The sequence below is a fragment of the Homo sapiens genome, chromosome 15, assembly GCF_000001405.40.
Source record: "Homo sapiens chromosome 15, GRCh38.p14 Primary Assembly".
Taxonomy (NCBI): Eukaryota; Metazoa; Chordata; class Mammalia; order Primates; family Hominidae; genus Homo; species Homo sapiens.
Window position 1 is genome coordinate 22524715 of NC_000015.10, and position 18865 is coordinate 22543579.

At 41.0% G+C, this 18865-nt stretch overlaps 1 pseudogene across 1 annotated transcript in view; it reads left to right on the forward strand.

The window, feature by feature from the left end:
* Positions 1 to 18865, forward strand: part of HERC2P2 (HERC2 pseudogene 2) — a 95995-nt pseudogene that overhangs the window by 29878 nt on the left and 47252 nt on the right. Inside the window, exons 4-11 of the transcript NR_002824.3 lie at positions 9354 to 9529; positions 12724 to 12894; positions 13279 to 13382; positions 14383 to 14533; positions 17281 to 17495; positions 17769 to 17901; positions 18009 to 18136; positions 18229 to 18424. The product of NR_002824.3 is annotated as an HERC2 pseudogene 2 (transcript). The remainder of the gene's footprint in view (positions 1 to 9353; positions 9530 to 12723; positions 12895 to 13278; positions 13383 to 14382; positions 14534 to 17280; positions 17496 to 17768; positions 17902 to 18008; positions 18137 to 18228; positions 18425 to 18865) is intronic.

Consider the following 18865-nt stretch of genomic DNA (forward strand, 5'->3'; position numbering starts at 1 on the left):
TTGCTTACTTTTTTGTGTGTAATTGAATTTTTTAAAATGTCTGATGCATTTTCGTTCCAATTAAAAATATACATCAAATAAATGTTTTCTTATAAAAATGTATCGATTATAAAAGCAGAAATTTCACCTGGCTGCCCACCCCAATTTCAGTTTTCCTCTAAGAGTTAGCCACTATTATCCCTTCAGAGTGGATATTCAGGCTTTTCTTTCCTGGCATGGACATACATATGTAAATGTACATATATAAAAATAATTAGTGACACCATGCATGGTAGCTCACGCCTGTAATCCCAGCACTTTGGGACGCTGAGGTGAGAGAATTGCTTGAGGCCATCAGTTTGAAGCTGCAGTGATCTATGATTGTGCCTCTACACTCCAGCCTGGGTGACAGGGTGAGACCCTGTCTCTTAAAAAAAAATTCGTATTTGGGGTTAGTAGTAGTACCTACCTCATAGGTTATTATGGGATCAGTACAGTAGGCCAGACAAAGTGCGTATGCTATTATTTTGCATGTAGTAAGTACCAGCATATACTACCTGTTATCCAGAAATTTGCTGAAATGTGCCTTGTATTTTCTCTCTTTCGATTTTGATCAGTCTTCCTAGAAGTCATCAGTTTGAGTTTTTTCAAAGAACCAGTTGTTGGTTTTATTGATTTTGTTTGTTTTCTTTTTCATTGATTTCTGCTTTACTCTTTATTATTTCCTTTTTTCTGCTGGCTTTGGGTTCCATTTGTTCTTCTGTCTCTTCTAGTTTCTTAAGGTAAAGGCTTAGATCATTGACTTCAGATTTTTTGTCTTTTCTAACAAGTGTTCAAGACTATAATATAAATTTCCCTCTAAGCATTGTTTAGCCACATTTCACAAATTTGGAAATGTTTATTCATTTTCATCTTCATTCAGTTGAAAATATTTTCTAATTTCCCTTTTAATTTCTTCTTTTACTCACTTATTATTTGGAAATGTGTTATTTCATTTCCAAATATTTGGGGATTTTCAAATATCTCCTGTTAACAATTTCTAAATTAGTTGTAGTCAGAGAACATATTCTGTGATTTCAATGCTGAGGCTTGTCTGAAGCCCCAGAATATGGTGCATTCTGTGGAATGTTTCATGCACATGTAATAAGAATGTGGCTGGGTGCAGTGGCTCCTGCCTGTAATCTCAACACTTTGGGAGGCTGAGGTGGGTGGATTACTTGAGGTCAGGAGTTCGAGACCAGCCTGGCCAACATAGTGAAACCCTGTCTCTACGAAACATACAAAAATTAGCTGGGTGTGGTGGTGGGTGCCTGTAATCTCGATTGCACCCCTGCACTTTAGTCTGGGTGACAAAGCAAGACTACATCTCAAAAAAAAAAAAAAAGTGTATTTTGCTGCTCTGTAAAGCTTAGTGAGATCAAGTTGATAGTGTTCAGGTATCCTTGACTTGAAATAGTTTTCTGCCTGCTTGTTCTAGTCACTGTTAGGAGAGGAGTTGAACTAACACACAAGGTTGGCTTACCACATTAGTTTGACATGAATCTCAGAGATGTTACCCGTAGCTGATTACTTAGTAACTTTAAAGATACAAGTAATATCCTCACTTGTGTGCTCAGGCAAAGTGGGGAGAGATGTGGGAGAGTCTGTGCAACCCCCGCAGGTCCATCCTCTTTGAGCCCGGCCTGCGAGATGAGACCTCTCACTGAGGCGTGTGGTCCTCTCACTGAGGTGTGTCGTCATCTCACTGCACAAGGAGCATTAAGGATGTGCAGTGTTCCCGTTTTGTAGTCAGATAGTTTATACACCTTAGGGAACCTTTTCCAGGGAGCCATGTCCCATAAGTCCATGGATTTTAGGTATGTTTACCAAACACAATCCTAAACTAACCACATCTTGCTAAAAACATTTCATAGATAAGGACACTTCTCCTAGCAAATACCAGTCATTTATTTACAGAGAAGCCAGTCTCAGTGTTCTGGGAGATCAGCCCCAGTGACTGGCTTTATTTCCCAGGAGTATCTCCATTGTGCTGGGGAGGCATGAAGAGCAATTTCACTGCTTAGTTCCTCTTTCTTCTGAGGAGAATTGAAATCTCTCATGCTAATTATGGATTATTTTCTTTCAGCTCTGCAGGTTTTGCTTCATGTATTTGAGAATGTTATAAGGTGCATGCACTTTTAGGATTTTTACGCCATATTCATAAATTTGACCCCCTTAATCTCCGGTGACATTCTTTGTTGTGAAGTCACCTTGGTCTGACTACTCTCCTTTCTTCTGATTTGGTGTTTGCGTGGTGTGTTTGCCAGGTTTAGCTTTTTTCACTTTCAAACTTTGTGTATGTGTAAAGTAGATTTCTTTCAGGTATCATTTAATTAGGTCTTGCTTCTTTATTCACCCTGACAACCTCTGTTTTTTATTTGGAATCTTTAGACTACTTGGGTTTAAATCTATCATCTCTGGCGTTTTCAGTTACATCTTTCACTTGTCACTGCCCACTCTCAAATGGTATTACACTGCCTGAGCCGCGGGGCAGTGCTCTGACTGTAGCTTCCTGCTTCTCACATGTTCTTGGTTGGTAGTGTTGCTGTGTCATGTCCAAGTGAAACATGGTATAAACCCCACAATATGATGTTTTTGTTTTTGCTTTAAATAGGCAATTACATTTTTTCCCCTCAAATTTGAAAAGAGAAAAAAAAGTCTTTTTTTTTTTGAGACGGAGTTTTGCTGTTGTTGCCCAGACTGGAGTGTAATGGCACAATCTCAGCTCACTGCAACCTCCGCCACCCAGGTTCAAGCGAGTCTCCTGCCTCAGCCTCCCTAGTAGCTGGGATTACAGACACACACCACCGTGCCTGGCTAACGTTTTTGTATTTTTAGTAGAGACAGGGTTTCACTATGTTTGCCAGGCTCGCCTCGAACTCCTGACCTTAGGTGATCCACGTGCCTCAGCCACCCTTAAGTGCTGGGATTATAGGATTATAGGTGTGAGCCACCACACCTGGCCTCTTTTTTTTTTTTTTTTTGAGGCGGAGTTTTGGTCTTGTTGCCCAGGCTGCCAGGATGGAGTGCAATGGCATGATCTTGGCTCACTGCAGCCTCTGCCTCCTGGGTTCAAACGATTCTGGCTCAGCCTCCCGAGTAGCTGGGATTACAGGCATACGCCACCACACCTGGCTAATTTTGTATTTTTGAGTAGAGACATGGTTTCGTCATGTTGGTCAGGCTGGTTTCGAACTCCTGACCTCAGGTGATCCACCCACCTCGGCCTCCCAAAGAGCCACCATGGCTGGCCAAAAAAAAGTTTTTTATGTTAACTTTCATTTTACCATTATGGGCCCTTAAGGTTTTGTTTCTGTCCCAGCTACCTTGTGTTATCATGTTCCTTCAGTTTGAAGATCTCCCTTTACCATTTCTAGATTTTCTGACAGAGAAGTTTTTCAGTCTGTCTGGGTATCAATTTTGGCTTTATCTCTGACTCTACACAAATCACTTTGTCTCACCTTGGGCCTCTCATGTATAAAATAGGAATAAGTGGCCAGGTGCAGAGGCTCATGCCTGTAATCCCAGCACTTTGGGAGGCTGAGACGGGCGGATCATGAGGTCAGGAGATCGAGACCATCCTGGCTAACGTGGTGAAACCCTGTCTCTACTAAAGATACAAAAAAATTAGCTGGGCGTGGTGGTGGGCACCTGTAGTCCCAGCTACTCGGGAAGCTCAGGCAGGAGAATGGCATGAACCCAGGAGGCGGAGCTTGCAGTGAGCCAAGATTGCACCACCACTGTAGCCTGGGTGACAGGGTGAGACTCCATCTCAAAACAAAAAAAACAAACAAAAAAAAGGAATAAGTATAATATAATGTAAATAATTAAAATTATATATAAAATAAGTGAAAGTACTTACTCAGAGAGTTGCTGTGCAAATGACATGAAATAATGCATTTGAAGCTCTTAAGTCAGTGCCTGGCACAAATGTTTGATAAAGATTTGTTGTGATTTTAAAAATCTGTTATTTTGCCTTTCTCCATGTTTCCCCTCACCTAGGTATCAAAGTACCTACAGTTATGGGTGGGTAACTAGACTAAAAATGTACCTTTCTTGCTCAGATTAAAGCCCGGCTTATTGACTCAGGGCAGCTTTAATCGGTTTATTTGGAAGCTCTGCTTGTTCACAGGTACAGAGCTTTTGCAGAACCGACTCTGTACCTGGCAGCCTTGAAGGGGCTTGGATTCAAAGCATATTCTTGAGCCACGCCATCTTTAATCAAACTGCAGGTGGAATTTGTAGCTGTTAGAATAGCTCCTATTCCTTTCATTTCTTTTTCTGTTTTTTTACTCTTCCATCTCAGCCTAAAAAGAAAAACACGTTAATTTGAGCCATAGGAATTTAGAATTTGTTTTTTCTTTTGCTTAGATATGTTTGACTAAAGCTTCCTTTTTCACAGGTTTATTTTTTCCAACATTTTATTATGAAAAAAATATATACAGAAAAGTTGAAAGAATTTTACAGCGCGCACCCACATATTCACCACCTAAGATTGTGCCGCTGGCATCATCCCACGTGCTTTATCACCGTTCTCTCCACCTTTTCATCCTTCTATTCATCCATCAGTCCCTCACATTTTTTTTGCAATGTTTCCAAGGAGACCTCTGGACACTTGCTTCTCAACATTGCAGCGTGTAGGCCCTCAGCAGGAGTTCAGAAGTGCACATTTCACAGTGAACCTTCTGAGAGTGTTGACAGATCACAGCTTTTCTTTTTGTCTAATGAAAAGGGCTTGCTGGCCATTGGGTGTTGTAATCTCTTAGGAGAGTAAACTCTTAGTAACTATCTAAATCATTCTTAATGATTCTCTCTGCTGTATAAATAGGTCTGGGAGGACCCTTTCTGACATTCTTGTTGGCATAGGTTTTAGCTTAAGGTGTTGTAAATGCTGTTTATCAAGATGATGAAGTTCCCATTTGTTGCTATTTTCTGAGAATTTTTATCATTCACGAGTATTGAATTTTGTCATTTGCTTTTTCTAAATCAATTGATATGTAATTATGTGATTTTTGTTCTTTAGTCTATTAATAGGGTGGGTTACATTGATATTTGACTGTTGAACCAGCTTTGCATTCCTGGAATGAAACTACTTGGCGATGATGTGGAATTCTTTTTATATATTGTTTACTTCTACTTGCTAATAATTCACTGAATATTTTTGTGTCTATATATATATTAAGGTATATTGTTCTGTAGTTTGTACTGTCTTTAGTTACGGTACCTAATATTAGCTTCTTAAAATGCTAATATTAGCTCTAATATTAGCTTCTTAAAATGCTAATATTGGCTCTAATATTAGCTTCTTAAAATGCTAATATTGGCTCTAATATTAGCTTCTTAATATGAATTGGGAAGTTTTTCCTTTTCTAGTTTCCAGAAGAGATTGTTTTGAGTCTGTGTTAATTCTTTTTTAATGTTTGATGGAATTATCCAGTGAGTTCATTTGGATCTGGTAATTTCTTTTTTTTTTTGGGATTCTTTGAATTATGAATTCAGTTTTCTTGATAGTGGTAGAGCTATTCAAATGATCTATTTTATATTTGGTGAGTTGTGGTAATTTGCATTATTTGAGGAATAAGTCTATTTTGCCCAAGTTGTCAAAGTTATGTGTGTAGAGTTGTTCCTAGTAATTCCTAATTATCTTTTTTCATATCTTTAGAGCTTGTTTCATCACTAATGTTGGGTAATTTATGTCTTTTTTTTTTTTTTGTCAGTCTTGCTTAGAGAGGTGTGTCAGTTTTATTGATCTTTTCAAAGAACCAGCTTTTTGCTTTACTGTTTATTGTTTTTCTGTTTTCACTTTGTTTCTACTCTTACCTTAATTATTTCTTCCTTTCTGCTTACTTTTGGGTTGATTTTGCTATTTTTAATTTTCGTTTAGGTTGTCAACGTGGGCACTTATATTATTGATTTGTTTCCAAGTTTCTAATGTACCATTCATTTAGTGCTGTAAATTTGTCTCTCGTCACCCACTGTAGCTCTTTCCCATACATTTTGATGTATTGTACTTGCATTTTCTCTCAGTTCACAATATATTTTAAAATTTCCCTTGAGACTTTCTCTTTGATCCATGGGTTATGTAGAAGTTTATTGTTTAGTTTCTGAGAGTTAGGCAATTTTCCTGTAATTGTTCTCTTGTTGACTTCAGATTTGTTCCCATTGTTTGAGGGAACATATGCTGTGTGATTTTAATTTCAAAAAATTTGTTAGGTTTGTTTTATGCCTCAGGATATGTTCTAACTTAGTATTTGTTTTGTGGATACTTGAAAAGATTATGTATTCTGTTATTATTGGCTGGAGTGTTCTATAAATTTTGATTGGCTCTAGTTGATGGATGGTGATGTTGCGTTCTATATCCTGGCAGCTTTTCTGTCTCCTAATTTTATCAGCTGTAGAGAGAGATTTTGAGGTCTCCAACTATAAAAGTATAAATGTCTTTTTCTCCTTTCGGTTCTATTCATTGTTTTTTTGTTTGTTTGGTGTCTGCACGTTTCGAATTGCTGTGTCTTAATGGTGGATTGACCAAGTTCTCATTTTGTAATGTTGCCGTTGGTTCCTGGTAATTATCTTTTTTTTTTTTTTGAGACGGAGTTTCGCTCCTTTTGCCCAGGCAGGAGTGAAGTGGCATGATCTCAGCTCACTGCAACTTCCGACCCTACCAGGTTCAAGTGATTCTCCTGCCTCAGCCTCCTGAGAAGCTGGGATTATAGGCTTCTGCCATCACACCCAGCTAATTTTTGTATTTTTAGTAGAGATGGGGTTTTGCCATATTGGCCAGGCTGGTCTCAAACTCCTGAGATCCACCCACCTTGGCCTCCCAAAGTGCTAGGAGTACAGGCGTGAGCCACTGTGCCCGGCCCTCCTGGTAATTATCTTTGTTCTGAAGTTTACTTTATTTGTTATAAATATAGCCAACTCCTGCTGTCCTTTCAGTAATGTTTGCATGATCTTTTTTTTTCTATACTTCTATTTTCAGTTTGCCTGTTTGAAGTCACTTTCTTATGGACAACATATAGTTGGATCATGTTCTCTAGTCTACTCTCCTAGTGTCTTTTAATTGATGTATTTAGATTGTTTACATTTAATTTAATGTCATTGATAAATTGAGGCTTAACACTGCCATTTTGTTTTGCATTTTCTATTTCTTCTGTTTTTCATTTTTTCGGTTTGGTTCTTCCTGGCTCTCTGTGGTTTACTTGACCATTTTTAGCATTCTATTTCATCTGTAGTGTTTTAGAGTGTATCTTTTTGTATAGCTTTTTTAGTGGCTTTTCTAGGTAATATATTGCATACAGATTGAGCATCTGTAAACCCAAAATCCAAAATCTGAAATGCCCCAAAATTCGAAACTTTATGGCACTCCAGCATGACGCCCCCAAATTGAAAATTCCATTCATAAGTACTTAGCATGAACTTTGTTTCATGCACAAAATTACTAAGCATGCTATATAAAATTACCTTCAGGCTCTGTGTATAAGTTATATATAAAACATAAATGAATGTATTTAGACTTGGGTCCTATCCCCAAAATATCTCATTATTTATATGCAGATATTCCTAAATCTGATAAAAATCTGAAATTTGGAACACTTGTGCTCCTGAGCATTTTATAAGGGACACTCAGCCTGTGTATGTATGAACACTTATCAGATTTTACCTGATGTTGTCATTTACCAGCTTCAGGGATATAGAAACTACCTCCCTTGATGTTCCTTTATGTTCTTCTGTTCATAATATACTTGCCTTAAATATTTCATTTACTTACATTGATAACCACATATGACAATGTTATAATTTTTGGTTGAACCTTCAGACGTAATTTAGCAAAGTCAAGAGGTGAGGGAAAAGTCTATTGTATTTATGCGTTGGTGTGCTTGTCATCTCCTCCTTCCAGAAGTTCCAGGGTTTTCTTCTTTGATGGTTGCCATTCTGCTTAGAGAACTTCCATTAGCCTTTCTTTTGGTGTGGGTCTTCTGGTGACAAATTCTGTTTCACTTCCTCTGAGAATGTTTTGCTTTCCTTTTCATTCCTGAAGGACATTTTTGCTGGATATAAGAATTCTGGGTTAATGGTTCTTTTCATCGCTTGAAAAATATTTTGTACTTTCAGCTGGGCTCCATGGTTTCTGATGAGAAATTCGCTGTCATTTGACTTGTTAATCCACGATAGTTAAGGCACTGTTTTTGTTTAGTGGCTTTTGAAATGTTTTGTCTTTTGTTTTTTGGAGTTTGATTATTATATGTCTTAGTTTGGATTTCTTTGGGTTCATCCTGTTTAGGGTTTGCTTACGTTAGATCTGTAGATTTATGTCTCTTGCCAAATTTGGGAACTTGTAAGCCATCACTTCATGGAGTACAGTTTCAGCCCCACCTTCTTTCTCCTGTCCCTTCGTGAGTTCAGTGACCGGAGTTGTTATAGTCCCATAGGTCCCCGAGACTGTTTTTTTGTTTGTTTGTTTGTTTTGCGGGTACATTGCTTTCTTTCTCCCTTCCCGTCCTGTCCTATCCCATCCCGTCCTGTCCTATCCCGTCCCATCCCGTCCCTTCCCGTCTTCGGAGTCTCTGCCTGTTTCCCAGGCTGGAGTGCAGTGCACGTTCTCGGCTCACTGCAACTGCCGCCTCCCTAGTTCGAATGATTCTCCTGTCTGAGCCTCTCGAGTAGCTGGGATTATAGGTACCCGCCACCATGCCCAGCTCAGTTTTATATTTTTAATAGAGATGAGGTTTCACCATGTTGGCCAGGGTGGTCTCAAAGTCCTAACCTTGTGATCTGCCTGCCTCGGCCTCCCAAAGTGCTGGGATTACAGGTGTGAGCCACCATGCCCAGCCTATTATTTGGCAGTCTTTAAACTAATGATAATAGGGGTCTTCTGCCTTTAGAAGAATTAGAACTGTGATTTAATTTGCAAATGAAAGTAGGTGTTCTCCAGAGTGGGCAACATTTAGATTAAAATAAAGGTTTTGGTTTTAGATTTCAAGGCCAGCTTGAGATGCTGTGCTGGGTTCCCACAGAGGTGGTTCTGCCTTTCTCCAGGGGTCCTAGGCTTGTAGAGTGGTTTGGTCATGTTAGTAATCTGTGTGGATTCAACTTACCTATGGTATCATAAATGTATACATGCACAGTCAATGTTGTGTACATGTATACAGCAGATTTAGAGATTTATACAGTTTATATGCTGCATAAATATATAGACGTATAGTATAACTGTATCATCAACATTGTCATTTGATGGGTCAAATGAGTCAATACCAAAATATAAAGCTTGGGTAAAAAACTGTGTTACTTTAGTTTTTCCCACCATTTCTGAATTTTTGTTTACTTTTCCTTTCTAGCTTTTGTCTGGTCCTCTGAGCCCCAGTGAGAGTTTCCTGAGGTACCTCACCCTTCCACAAGACAACAGGCTTGCCATTGATCTGCAACAAACGGCGGTTGTTGTCATGGCCCATTTAGACCGTCTGGCTACACCCTGTAGATGCCTCCTCTGTGTAGCTCTCCGACGTCTCATAAGGTGTGTGCAAGAACCGTGTTCTCCATGTGTTTTGTAGCTAGTACCACTTGTAGGTTCTCATCCTGGGCCCGTGTGGAGACTTGTTTTTTCTGGTATTGGTAGGGGGAGCTGGCCTGTGGTTTTTAAACGTGTTTGCAGTTGAAGGTGTTATCCGTGTTGAGAGTGAGTGATGAGCAAGCTGAGGCGCACAGGCCTGGCGACCCAACCTGGGGGCCCGGGTTCCAGGTTCAGGTGGCACAGCCCCAGAGAGCTCCCCTTTATCCACAGCCCCAGGCCCTCCCACCTTCTGCAGGGGGTTCCACAGCCTTCTTCATACTCTGAACGCAGGCTGTCTTAGTATGTCATGCTGGTTATAGTAGTGACAGTATAATTATGTATTATATCTCTTATGTAATAGTAATGGTAGTGATTTGCATGTGTGGAGCACCTGTAGGGTGCAGGCCCGCTGAGGACCTCATGCACGCTGTTGTATCTCATTATGTCAATGAGAAAACTGCCTTTGGGAATGGTAGTGAACTTTGCCAGTGCAGAACAGTAATCCTAGTTTTGAATCCAGATTTTTCTAACATTTTATTTCTAGTATAAAGAGTATTTATTTTGTTTTACAGTCATTAAAAAAAAAAAATACAGTCACATGGTTCAAAAATCAAACCTAGGCAGAGACACACTGTCGCTTCCCCTGCCCACCCCTTCCACCCATTTTCCCACCTGCTCCCTCTGACTTTCCAGTCTCCTCTGTAACCTCCTTGTTCTCTGGCATGAGTACGTTCGTGGTAGCATGCTTCATTACTTGTGTTGCTTGTTTTTTGTTTTTTTTTTTAACTAACCATATATACTGGAGTACCTTATCAGAGTGTCCCTCTTTGTTTTTATAAATCAGCTTAGTCTTCAGTGTGTGGATGTGTCTTTTATCTATCTTTCTTTAGTGAGTCTCTTATTGGTGGACACTTGGGCTTATTGCCACAATGTTGCTATACAAATAGTGCTGAGGGTCGGGTGTAGTGGCTCACGCCTGTAATCCCAGCACTTTGGGAGGTCGAGGTGGGTGGATCACCTGAGGTTGGGAGTTTGAGATCAGCCTGGCCAACTTGGAGAAACCCCGTCTCTACTAAAAAATACAAAAATTAGCGGGGCGTGGTGACGGGTGCCTGTAATCCCAGCTACTTGGGAGGCTGAGGCAGGAGAATCGCTTGAACCTGGGAGGCAGAGGTTGCAGTGAGCCGAGATCGCGCCACTGCACTCCAGGCTGGGCAACAAGAGTGAAACTCCATCTCAAACAACAACAACAGAAAACACAAATAGTACTGCAAGGCCTGGCCTGGAACACGTGTCCTCCATGTGTGCACGCGTGTGTGCCTGTGCACATGCACAGGTGGGGATGGACCTCGTGTGGGCTGGTTGTCACCAGATTGCTCCTGTACATCTTGATTTCTCTCACCACCAATAGGGATGCTGGTCTCCCAGCCTTGTGTGTGGGCTTTTGGGATTTTGCCTGCTAAAGCACAAAGTGGTGACCCCGATATAGTTTGAGCATTTTAAAATATATTAGTATTTAAGGGCCATTTATACTACTTTTTAATGGGCTCTGTTGAAATGCAATGGAAATGGAAAAATAGCCTGTTCAGTTGCTTCATCATACCTGTTAAATGCAGTAATATGGCATGGTACGAGATGGGGTTTCACTGTGTTAGCCAGGATGGTCTCGATCTCCTGACTTCATGATCTGCCCGCCTCGGCCTCCCAAAGTGCTGGGATTATAGGCATGAGCCACCGCGCCCGGCTGATTGGATTATTTTAAAGCATAACTCTGTCTTTAAAACATTTTAAGGTATTTTACCTCTTAATGATAAGGATTTTAAAAAAACCCTACAATATCATTATCCTGTCTATAAGATTAACAGTGATTCCTTAATCTAACATGCAGTCCATGTTACATTTTCCTGGACTATCTCAAAAATGCCTTTTTTAGGTGGTAATTTTGAATTAAGACCTGAGCATGTTCTGCGTATTGGCATTGCTTGACATATGCTTCTAGTCTCTTTCCCCAAACAACATGGCTCCAGGCCCTCTTCTCCCTGTCTCTGATCATACCGTTTTCTTTTTCAAAGAAGCAGGTTGGTTATTTTGGAGAACTTCACATTTTCTGAACTTGGTTGATTGCATTCTCTTATTCTAGACCAACATGTTCTTCTGTTAGTTACATTAATCTGCTGGTTAGATCTAGAGGTTTGGTTGGATTTGAATTCAGTCTCGTTGGGGCGGTGTTATGTCTGGGGTCATGCTGCATGCTTTCTGTTGGCTCAGGAGGCCTGTAATGCTCGGTGGCTCCCCGCTTTAGTTCTGTGAAGCTAGACCAGGGAATTCATGTGTTGCGTATCCTCTATAAAATCCCCTACCAACCTTGCCCTCTGCTGTCTGGTTAGCAGGAGGTACAATTTGTACAGCAAGGACATAATCTAAGCTTGACTTCTTGAACTGCCACCTCCCTTTAACTATTTTTCATAATATTGAGTTGGTATCCTAGCACTTGCATAGGTGACCACCACTCAGGTTTTCTTTTTTTTGAGTATTTTTATGAACTAACAGACTTTTATTGATTTGGTGTTTCTTTTCTTTTTTAGCTTTTTCCCCCTTTAATGTGTAAATATATACATTTAAAGGCATAAATGCCCTCAAGCATGCATTTAGTTGTATGTCACCAATTTCGATCTGCAGTATTTTGATTATTAACTGAACACATTTTCTAATTTTCATAGTCATTTTTTCTTAGAATTTTGGGTTACTTATAAGTGTATCTTGTAATTTTCAAATATGTGGATGAATATTTTTATTTTCTGTGTATACAGAGTCATTTTTATTTTATTTTGAATGAATTTTTGAAAACCTATTTGTAATTTAACTGCATTGTAGTCAGCACACATGCTCTGTAAGTTTATTTCTTTGAAATCTGTTGAGATTTACTCTATGGCCTGGCATGGCCCGATTTGGTATTCATGCTGCCTAGACTTTTTTTTAAAGCATTCTATATTTAACAGAATTTGTATGTGTGGTATTAGTTTCAGAGCTAGGTATGTATTTCTCCCATTGTGATTGTGGATTTGTTTATTTCTGCTTGTAGTTCTTTCACACAGTTTGTTCTTTTCATTTTACCTGTTGATTGATCAATGGACTGATTCTGGTTTCTGTATATACAGAGTCATTTTTTACAGGTCAGAACTGTAGAAATAATGAGAAAGTGACATTTGTACGCATAGCTGATTTGGAGAACCATAATAACGATGGAGGCTTCTGGACTGTGATTGACGGGAAAGTGTATGATATAAAGGACTTCCAGACACAGTCGTTAACAGAAAATAGTATTCTTGGTAAGATTACACTTGTTATTTCCTGGTTAAAAGTTACAGCCTGTATCATTTTAAGCAGAGTATTTGGCTTATAAATGATTCCTTTAGTTTTGTGCCAGCCCCCGCATATTTTAATGTATCTGTGGCTTTGGTGTCTGTCTTATCAACAAATTCAGCACATTCGAAGAATTTCCTTTCATTATGTATCTTTTGTTTTAATACTTGGAACTCATTTCAAGTTCCGAGTTGGCCCAGGCAACCCTGGGAGACAGTGGGAGGTCATTATATTCTGGTAACCCTCACTTTTGAGTTAAGAGCCTAACTTATTTCCTACTCACTATTTCTCCTGTAGCTCTTCAGGCAAGCTGAATTGAACTCATGTTGCTTTTTCCCTTTTTGTTTCAGCTCAGTTTGCAGGGGAAGACCCAGTGGTAGCTTTGGAAGCTGCTTTGCAGTTTGAAGACACCCGGGAATCCATGCACGCATTTTGTGTTGGCCAGTATTTGGAGGTGAGGCTGTATGCCTTGAGTGATGCAGAGGATGGCAGGGGATACCCTCTGTGTGTTTGTGATAGGAATATTTGGATCTAGAAGTACTGATATCTGGGTCTTTTGCGGGGCATTAGGGATAAATATAAAGATCCTTTAGAAGTTTTGTCATAAATGAATTTACATTTATTCATGTTAAGATCTGTGATGTACTGGTCTTGAAAGATTGTTTTTTAAATGATCAATTTGTGAGAAATATAGGCAGTGTTCCACAAGAAAAGAGGTTAAACTTTGGTCTTATGTAGAAATTTGGAATGGCTTATAATCTTGAGGTATGTATTTTTTGGGAAGAACTATGTAGAAGTGTAATTCTTTACAATAGAAATATGTCCTTCCTATGTATTCACGAACACATAGAATTTATATATTGGGATTAGCTTACTAGGTATCGACAAGTAATAAGATGTATTAAATGCCATTAGGGCAGGGCTTAAAACAGTTTATGAAGGGGAGAATTAACTTTGCTGTAAATATCTTCTGTGACTGAAAAAGTTGAACTCTTGCTTTTTTCAGAGTTTGATTTTTGTTAGAATAAATTTCATTTCCTCTACATGTGTGGTCACAGTCCACTAATACTTGTCATCGAATACTTGTCATAGTTTTGTTGCCCAGTGGGTTCTTTATGCATGTAACAATTCATTATACTTTCTGAAGCATGGTGTACAGTCACTTTGGAAACTGATTCCTAAGGAATATTCTAGCCAAATCATGTATCTGTGGTTTAGTTTTTCTACAGTAGGGCTGTGCGGTTGCTGCCTGCTTTATAGGGCATGTGGGTTTATATGGTATCTGCTGTTACTTGGGCACAGCAGCACCAACTCATTACAGGATGGAGGGGCAGAACGCCCAGAGCACCCCTGGGCTCACGTGCGGTACAGCTGCAGGAGAGAGCTGTCCTTTTGGTTTTATGTTTTTAATTAATTCTGTTTCCTCAGATTGATGATTAAATTTATTTTTCCAGCCTGACCAAGAAGGCGTCACCATACCAGATCTGGGGAGTCTCTCCTCACCTCTGATAGACACAGAGAGGAATCTGGGCCTGCTTCTCGGATTACACGCTTCCTATTTAGCAATGAGCACACCGCTGTCTCCTGTCGAGATTGAATGTGCCAGTAAGAAAATCTTTACTTTTTGCTAATCAGCAGATTTTTTTTTTTTTGAACTGTAAGTGCCATTAAGAGTGGGAGAGGGCCAGGCACAGTGGTTCATGCCTGTAATCCCAGCACTTTGGGAGGTTGTGGCACGTGGATTGCTTGAGATCAAGATTTTGAGACCAGCCTGGGCAACATGGCAAAACCCCATCTCTACAAAAAACACAAAAATTAGCCAGGCATGTTGGCACGTATTTGTAGTCCCAGATACTCAGGAGGCTGAGGTAGGAGGATTGCTTGAGCCTGGGAGGTTGAGGCTGCAGTGAGTCATGATCATACCACTGCACTCCAGCCTGGGTGACAGAGCAAGACTCTCTCTTTAAAAAAGCAGGAGATGGCCAGGCAGTGGCTCATGCCTGTAATCCCAGCACTTTGGGAGGCTGAGGCGGGTGGATCACCTGAGGTCAGGAGTTCAAGACCAGCCTGGCCAATGTGGTGAAACCCCATGTCTACTAAAAATGCAAAAATTAGCTGGGTGTGGTGACGGGTGCCTGTAATCCTAGGTACTCGGGAGGCTGAGGTAGGAGAATTGCTTGAACCCAGGAGACGGAGGTTGCAGTGAGCTGAGATCACGCCACTGCACTCCAGCCTGGGTGACAAGAGCGAGACTCGGTCTCAAAAAAAAAAAAGGAGAGGAGGATTCAACACAGTTGATGATGACAAAAAAAAAAATAATAAGGATAGTGAGACTCAATCAGGTAGAAACAGCTGTGAGTGGTTGTCATTTGCCCTCATGGTCTGTTGCTGCAGAGGAAGCTAAAAAGTGTGCAGGAATGTCTACCCGTCTGCCCTTGGTGGTCTCACGTATTGCAGCCTCTGCCTGATGGGCCCAGCATGGCTTTTGTCTCCCTGCATGCCCAGAAATTGCACAGAATGTGGATCAGCTGTCCTCTCAGGGAAGAGCATACTATTTGAGCACTGCGTTTTTACCAGACCAGGCTCAAGTCAGTTATATTTCAGGATGGCAGCCTTTGTAACCACCTAAAATAATAAGCTTCTTTCTGTCTCCTAAGATGTGTTTCCATTTTCCTTCATGTAGTTGTGCATTTCCCATCTGTCTGTCTGTCCATCCATGTGAGCAGCTTCTGTTGAGCATTTGCCTGGTGCCGTTACCATACGAGGTGTTCAGGATACAGTGATAGATAGGACACACCTCTGCTTTCTGGTGCCGTTACCATGCGAGGTGTTCAGGATGCAGTGATGGGTAGGACACGCCTCTGCTTTCAGCTGCTGCTTGTTGATGAGCCACCATTCTAAGCAGGTCACATTACAAGGTGGTGAATGGTGAAATGGAGATGTTCATACATGGTTCTGGGAGAAGAAAGGCTTCACATTGGCAGCAGTCCTGAAATTGCGTGAGAGAGCATTCTGGGCAGAAAACACAGGAGTGTCAAGGGCACTGCTGAGAGGAGCAGGGCTTTCCTGCTGCTTGCAGGAGTGGGTGTGGCAGAGGCTTGCAGGGAAGGAGGATCTTGGTGTCCATACAGCCCCCCGTTGGGCGGACCTTTGTGCAGTGCTAGGTGCTGGGCTGCCTGTGGTGCCCTCTGAGGTGTCTGCTTCCTTCCCTCCTCCTCAAGGCTCATTGCTTGCCAGAAGATGGGCTTTGTTTAAATTGGCAAGGAGGGCAGGGCTGGCGAGCTCCAGGGCAGAGGGTGCCATGGGCCCTGGCAGGTGGGTCCGATCCACAGGAGGATCAGAGGCTTATCTTGGAGCAGTAAGGAGGGGCTGTCCTGTGCTTAAAGAGAGGGGGCCAGAGAGAGTCGGCATTGGATTAGTGTTTCAGAAGAACGAATGTGGTGTGTTGGGGAATGCTCCTGAGTGCTCTAAAATCTAAATGTCCAGTAAAAGAACACTAAGTGCATCCCGCTTTGATTGCTTGGATTTGGAGCAGTATTTGATAACACAGATCGTTAATAGAGATCTGTAGTGGTGCACTCCCTCAAGTTGCCATAAGCAGTTGTAATTAACATTCGCACTGGTTGATCCCATGCCTTGCACCACGCACAGGTCTCCTTTCCAGTCCATCGGCCCTCCCATCTCCAAGGATCTATCCTTCATTACAGATTGTGTGTTTCTTAAATATTTTCTCCTTTTCATTCCTTTATAAGTGCTCTAGGAATACATAGCCTACCCTGAGGATGTAATTCTTTGTAGAAACCCTTCAGATGTGCTATTCCCTGCCTGGATACTCAGCGTCTGGGTCTTATTCCTCATCTTAGCTCAGTTGTTGCTTCCACAAGTCCCTCACTGACCCTCAGAATAGCGGTGGTCTGTCTTCCAGTCTCCCTGGTACCCCCATAGTCATCTGTTGCACAGTTTCGGACTTGAAATCCTGTGATTAATTGTGTCAGCGGTGCCCTTTGCTGCCTTCCCTGTTAGAATGTGCACCTCAGTCTTCACACGGTACCTGTGGAACCAGGCAGCTGCAGGCAGAGCACAGGTATCCAGAGAATGTTGGACTGGAACTACGATCCTGAGTTCTGATGCCATGCCTGAGGCGTGTGGAATCACCAGAAAGTGTGTTCACGTAGATAGAGGAATTATAAGTCAACCTGTGTAAACATGTTAGGTGGAGCTCTTTCATATGAATGATGCTGAATTTCACCTTCTAAATTGAGTGTTCAGTTGAGCATCTTTTTTTTTTTTTAGTATTTATTTTGAGTTGTGCACTTGAGTTTCTCTTTCATGTTTGTGTGTGCATTTTCTAGAATGGCTTCAGTCATCCATCTTCTCTGGAGGCCTGCAGACCAGCCAGATCCACTACAGCTACAACGAGGAGAAAGACGAGGACCACTGCAGCTCCCCAGGGGGCACACCTGCCAGCAAATCTCGACTCTGCTCCCACAGACGGGCCCTGGGGGACCATTCCCAGGCATTTCTGCAAGCCATTGCAGACAACAACATTCAGGATCACAACGTGAAGGTGAGCTAGGCCTGCCCCCACTGCCACCTCAGTGCTCTGTTTATCTGAGGACTTTGACATAGGAATACTTATGTGCTCTTTGGTTAACACAGCACAGACTTTGTTTCATGTATTATTTGGAGGGTTTTGAGGTGAGAACCTGATTGTGTTAACATGCTAGCGAGGCTTCAGAAGCATTAGTGATTGCAAGTGCGTCAGAAGCTGTGGCATGTTTAAGATTTGTGAAGACTCACTGGGTTTCCCTGAAGTTACTTCCAGCTGTTCCTGTTGCAGGACTTTTTGTGTCAAATAGAAAGGTACTGTAGGCAGTGCCATTTGACCACACCGATCATGTTTCCCCCCGAGCATCCCGTGGAAGAGGTCGGTCGCTTGCTGTTATGTTGCCTCTTAAAACATGAAGATTTAGGTAAGGAGCTCAATATCTTTGTACTTTAGCTACACTGCAGATTCCTCGACTAACCTGTGGTACGTATTCATTCCTTCACTGCCCTTCTTTTAAATGTCTTTTTACAGGTCATGTGGCATTATCTTTAGTTCATGCAGGTGCACTTGATATTGAGCAAGTAAAGCACAGAACGTTGCCTAAGTCAGTGGTGGATGTTTGTAGAGTTGTCTACCAAGCAAAATGTTCGCTCATTAAGGTGATAGATTTTAATTCTTTTTATTCTGTGCTTTGCAGACAGTTGCTGAAATATTTGTTGTTAAAGTTGTCTTTTCCTGGTTAACTTTGCAGACTCATCAAGAACAGGGCCGTTCTTACAAGGAGGTCTGCGCTCCTGTCATCAAACGTTTGAGATTCCTCTTTAATGAATTGAGACCTGCTGTTTGTAATGACCTCTCTATAATGTCTAAGTTTAAATTGTTAAGTTCTTTGCCCCATTGGAGGAGGATAGCTCAGAAGATAATTCGAGAACCAAGGAAAAAGAGAGGTAAGAATGTAAAAGGACAGAAGATACTATTAAAGCTTGTGCTTCACCCTGCCACGTTGGATCTGTGATTTCAGAGTGAAGTTTCTCTACTGTTGATTCCATGTAACATTTCTACCTGCTGCCATCATTTTTATTATAGTTAGGATTAAATACAGACATCTCGCTTATTTTTCCAAATGATCAGACAATGAGGCAGTTTAGGAATTGAGTGTGGTATGATTTGATTACTAGTAAATTGATGTTGAAAACGTAAATAATCTTTGCTAAATTGATGGGAACAAGGAAGTACTTTTATTAGTTATCCTGGTAATGAGATATAATGGGAACATTTAAACTTATTGCCATTCTTCTAAAGAAATGTTTTTTGTTTGGAAATATTGAGTATTCTGATACATGAAGAACTATAAAGGGAAGCTAAAAGAGTTACTGACATTTTCCTGG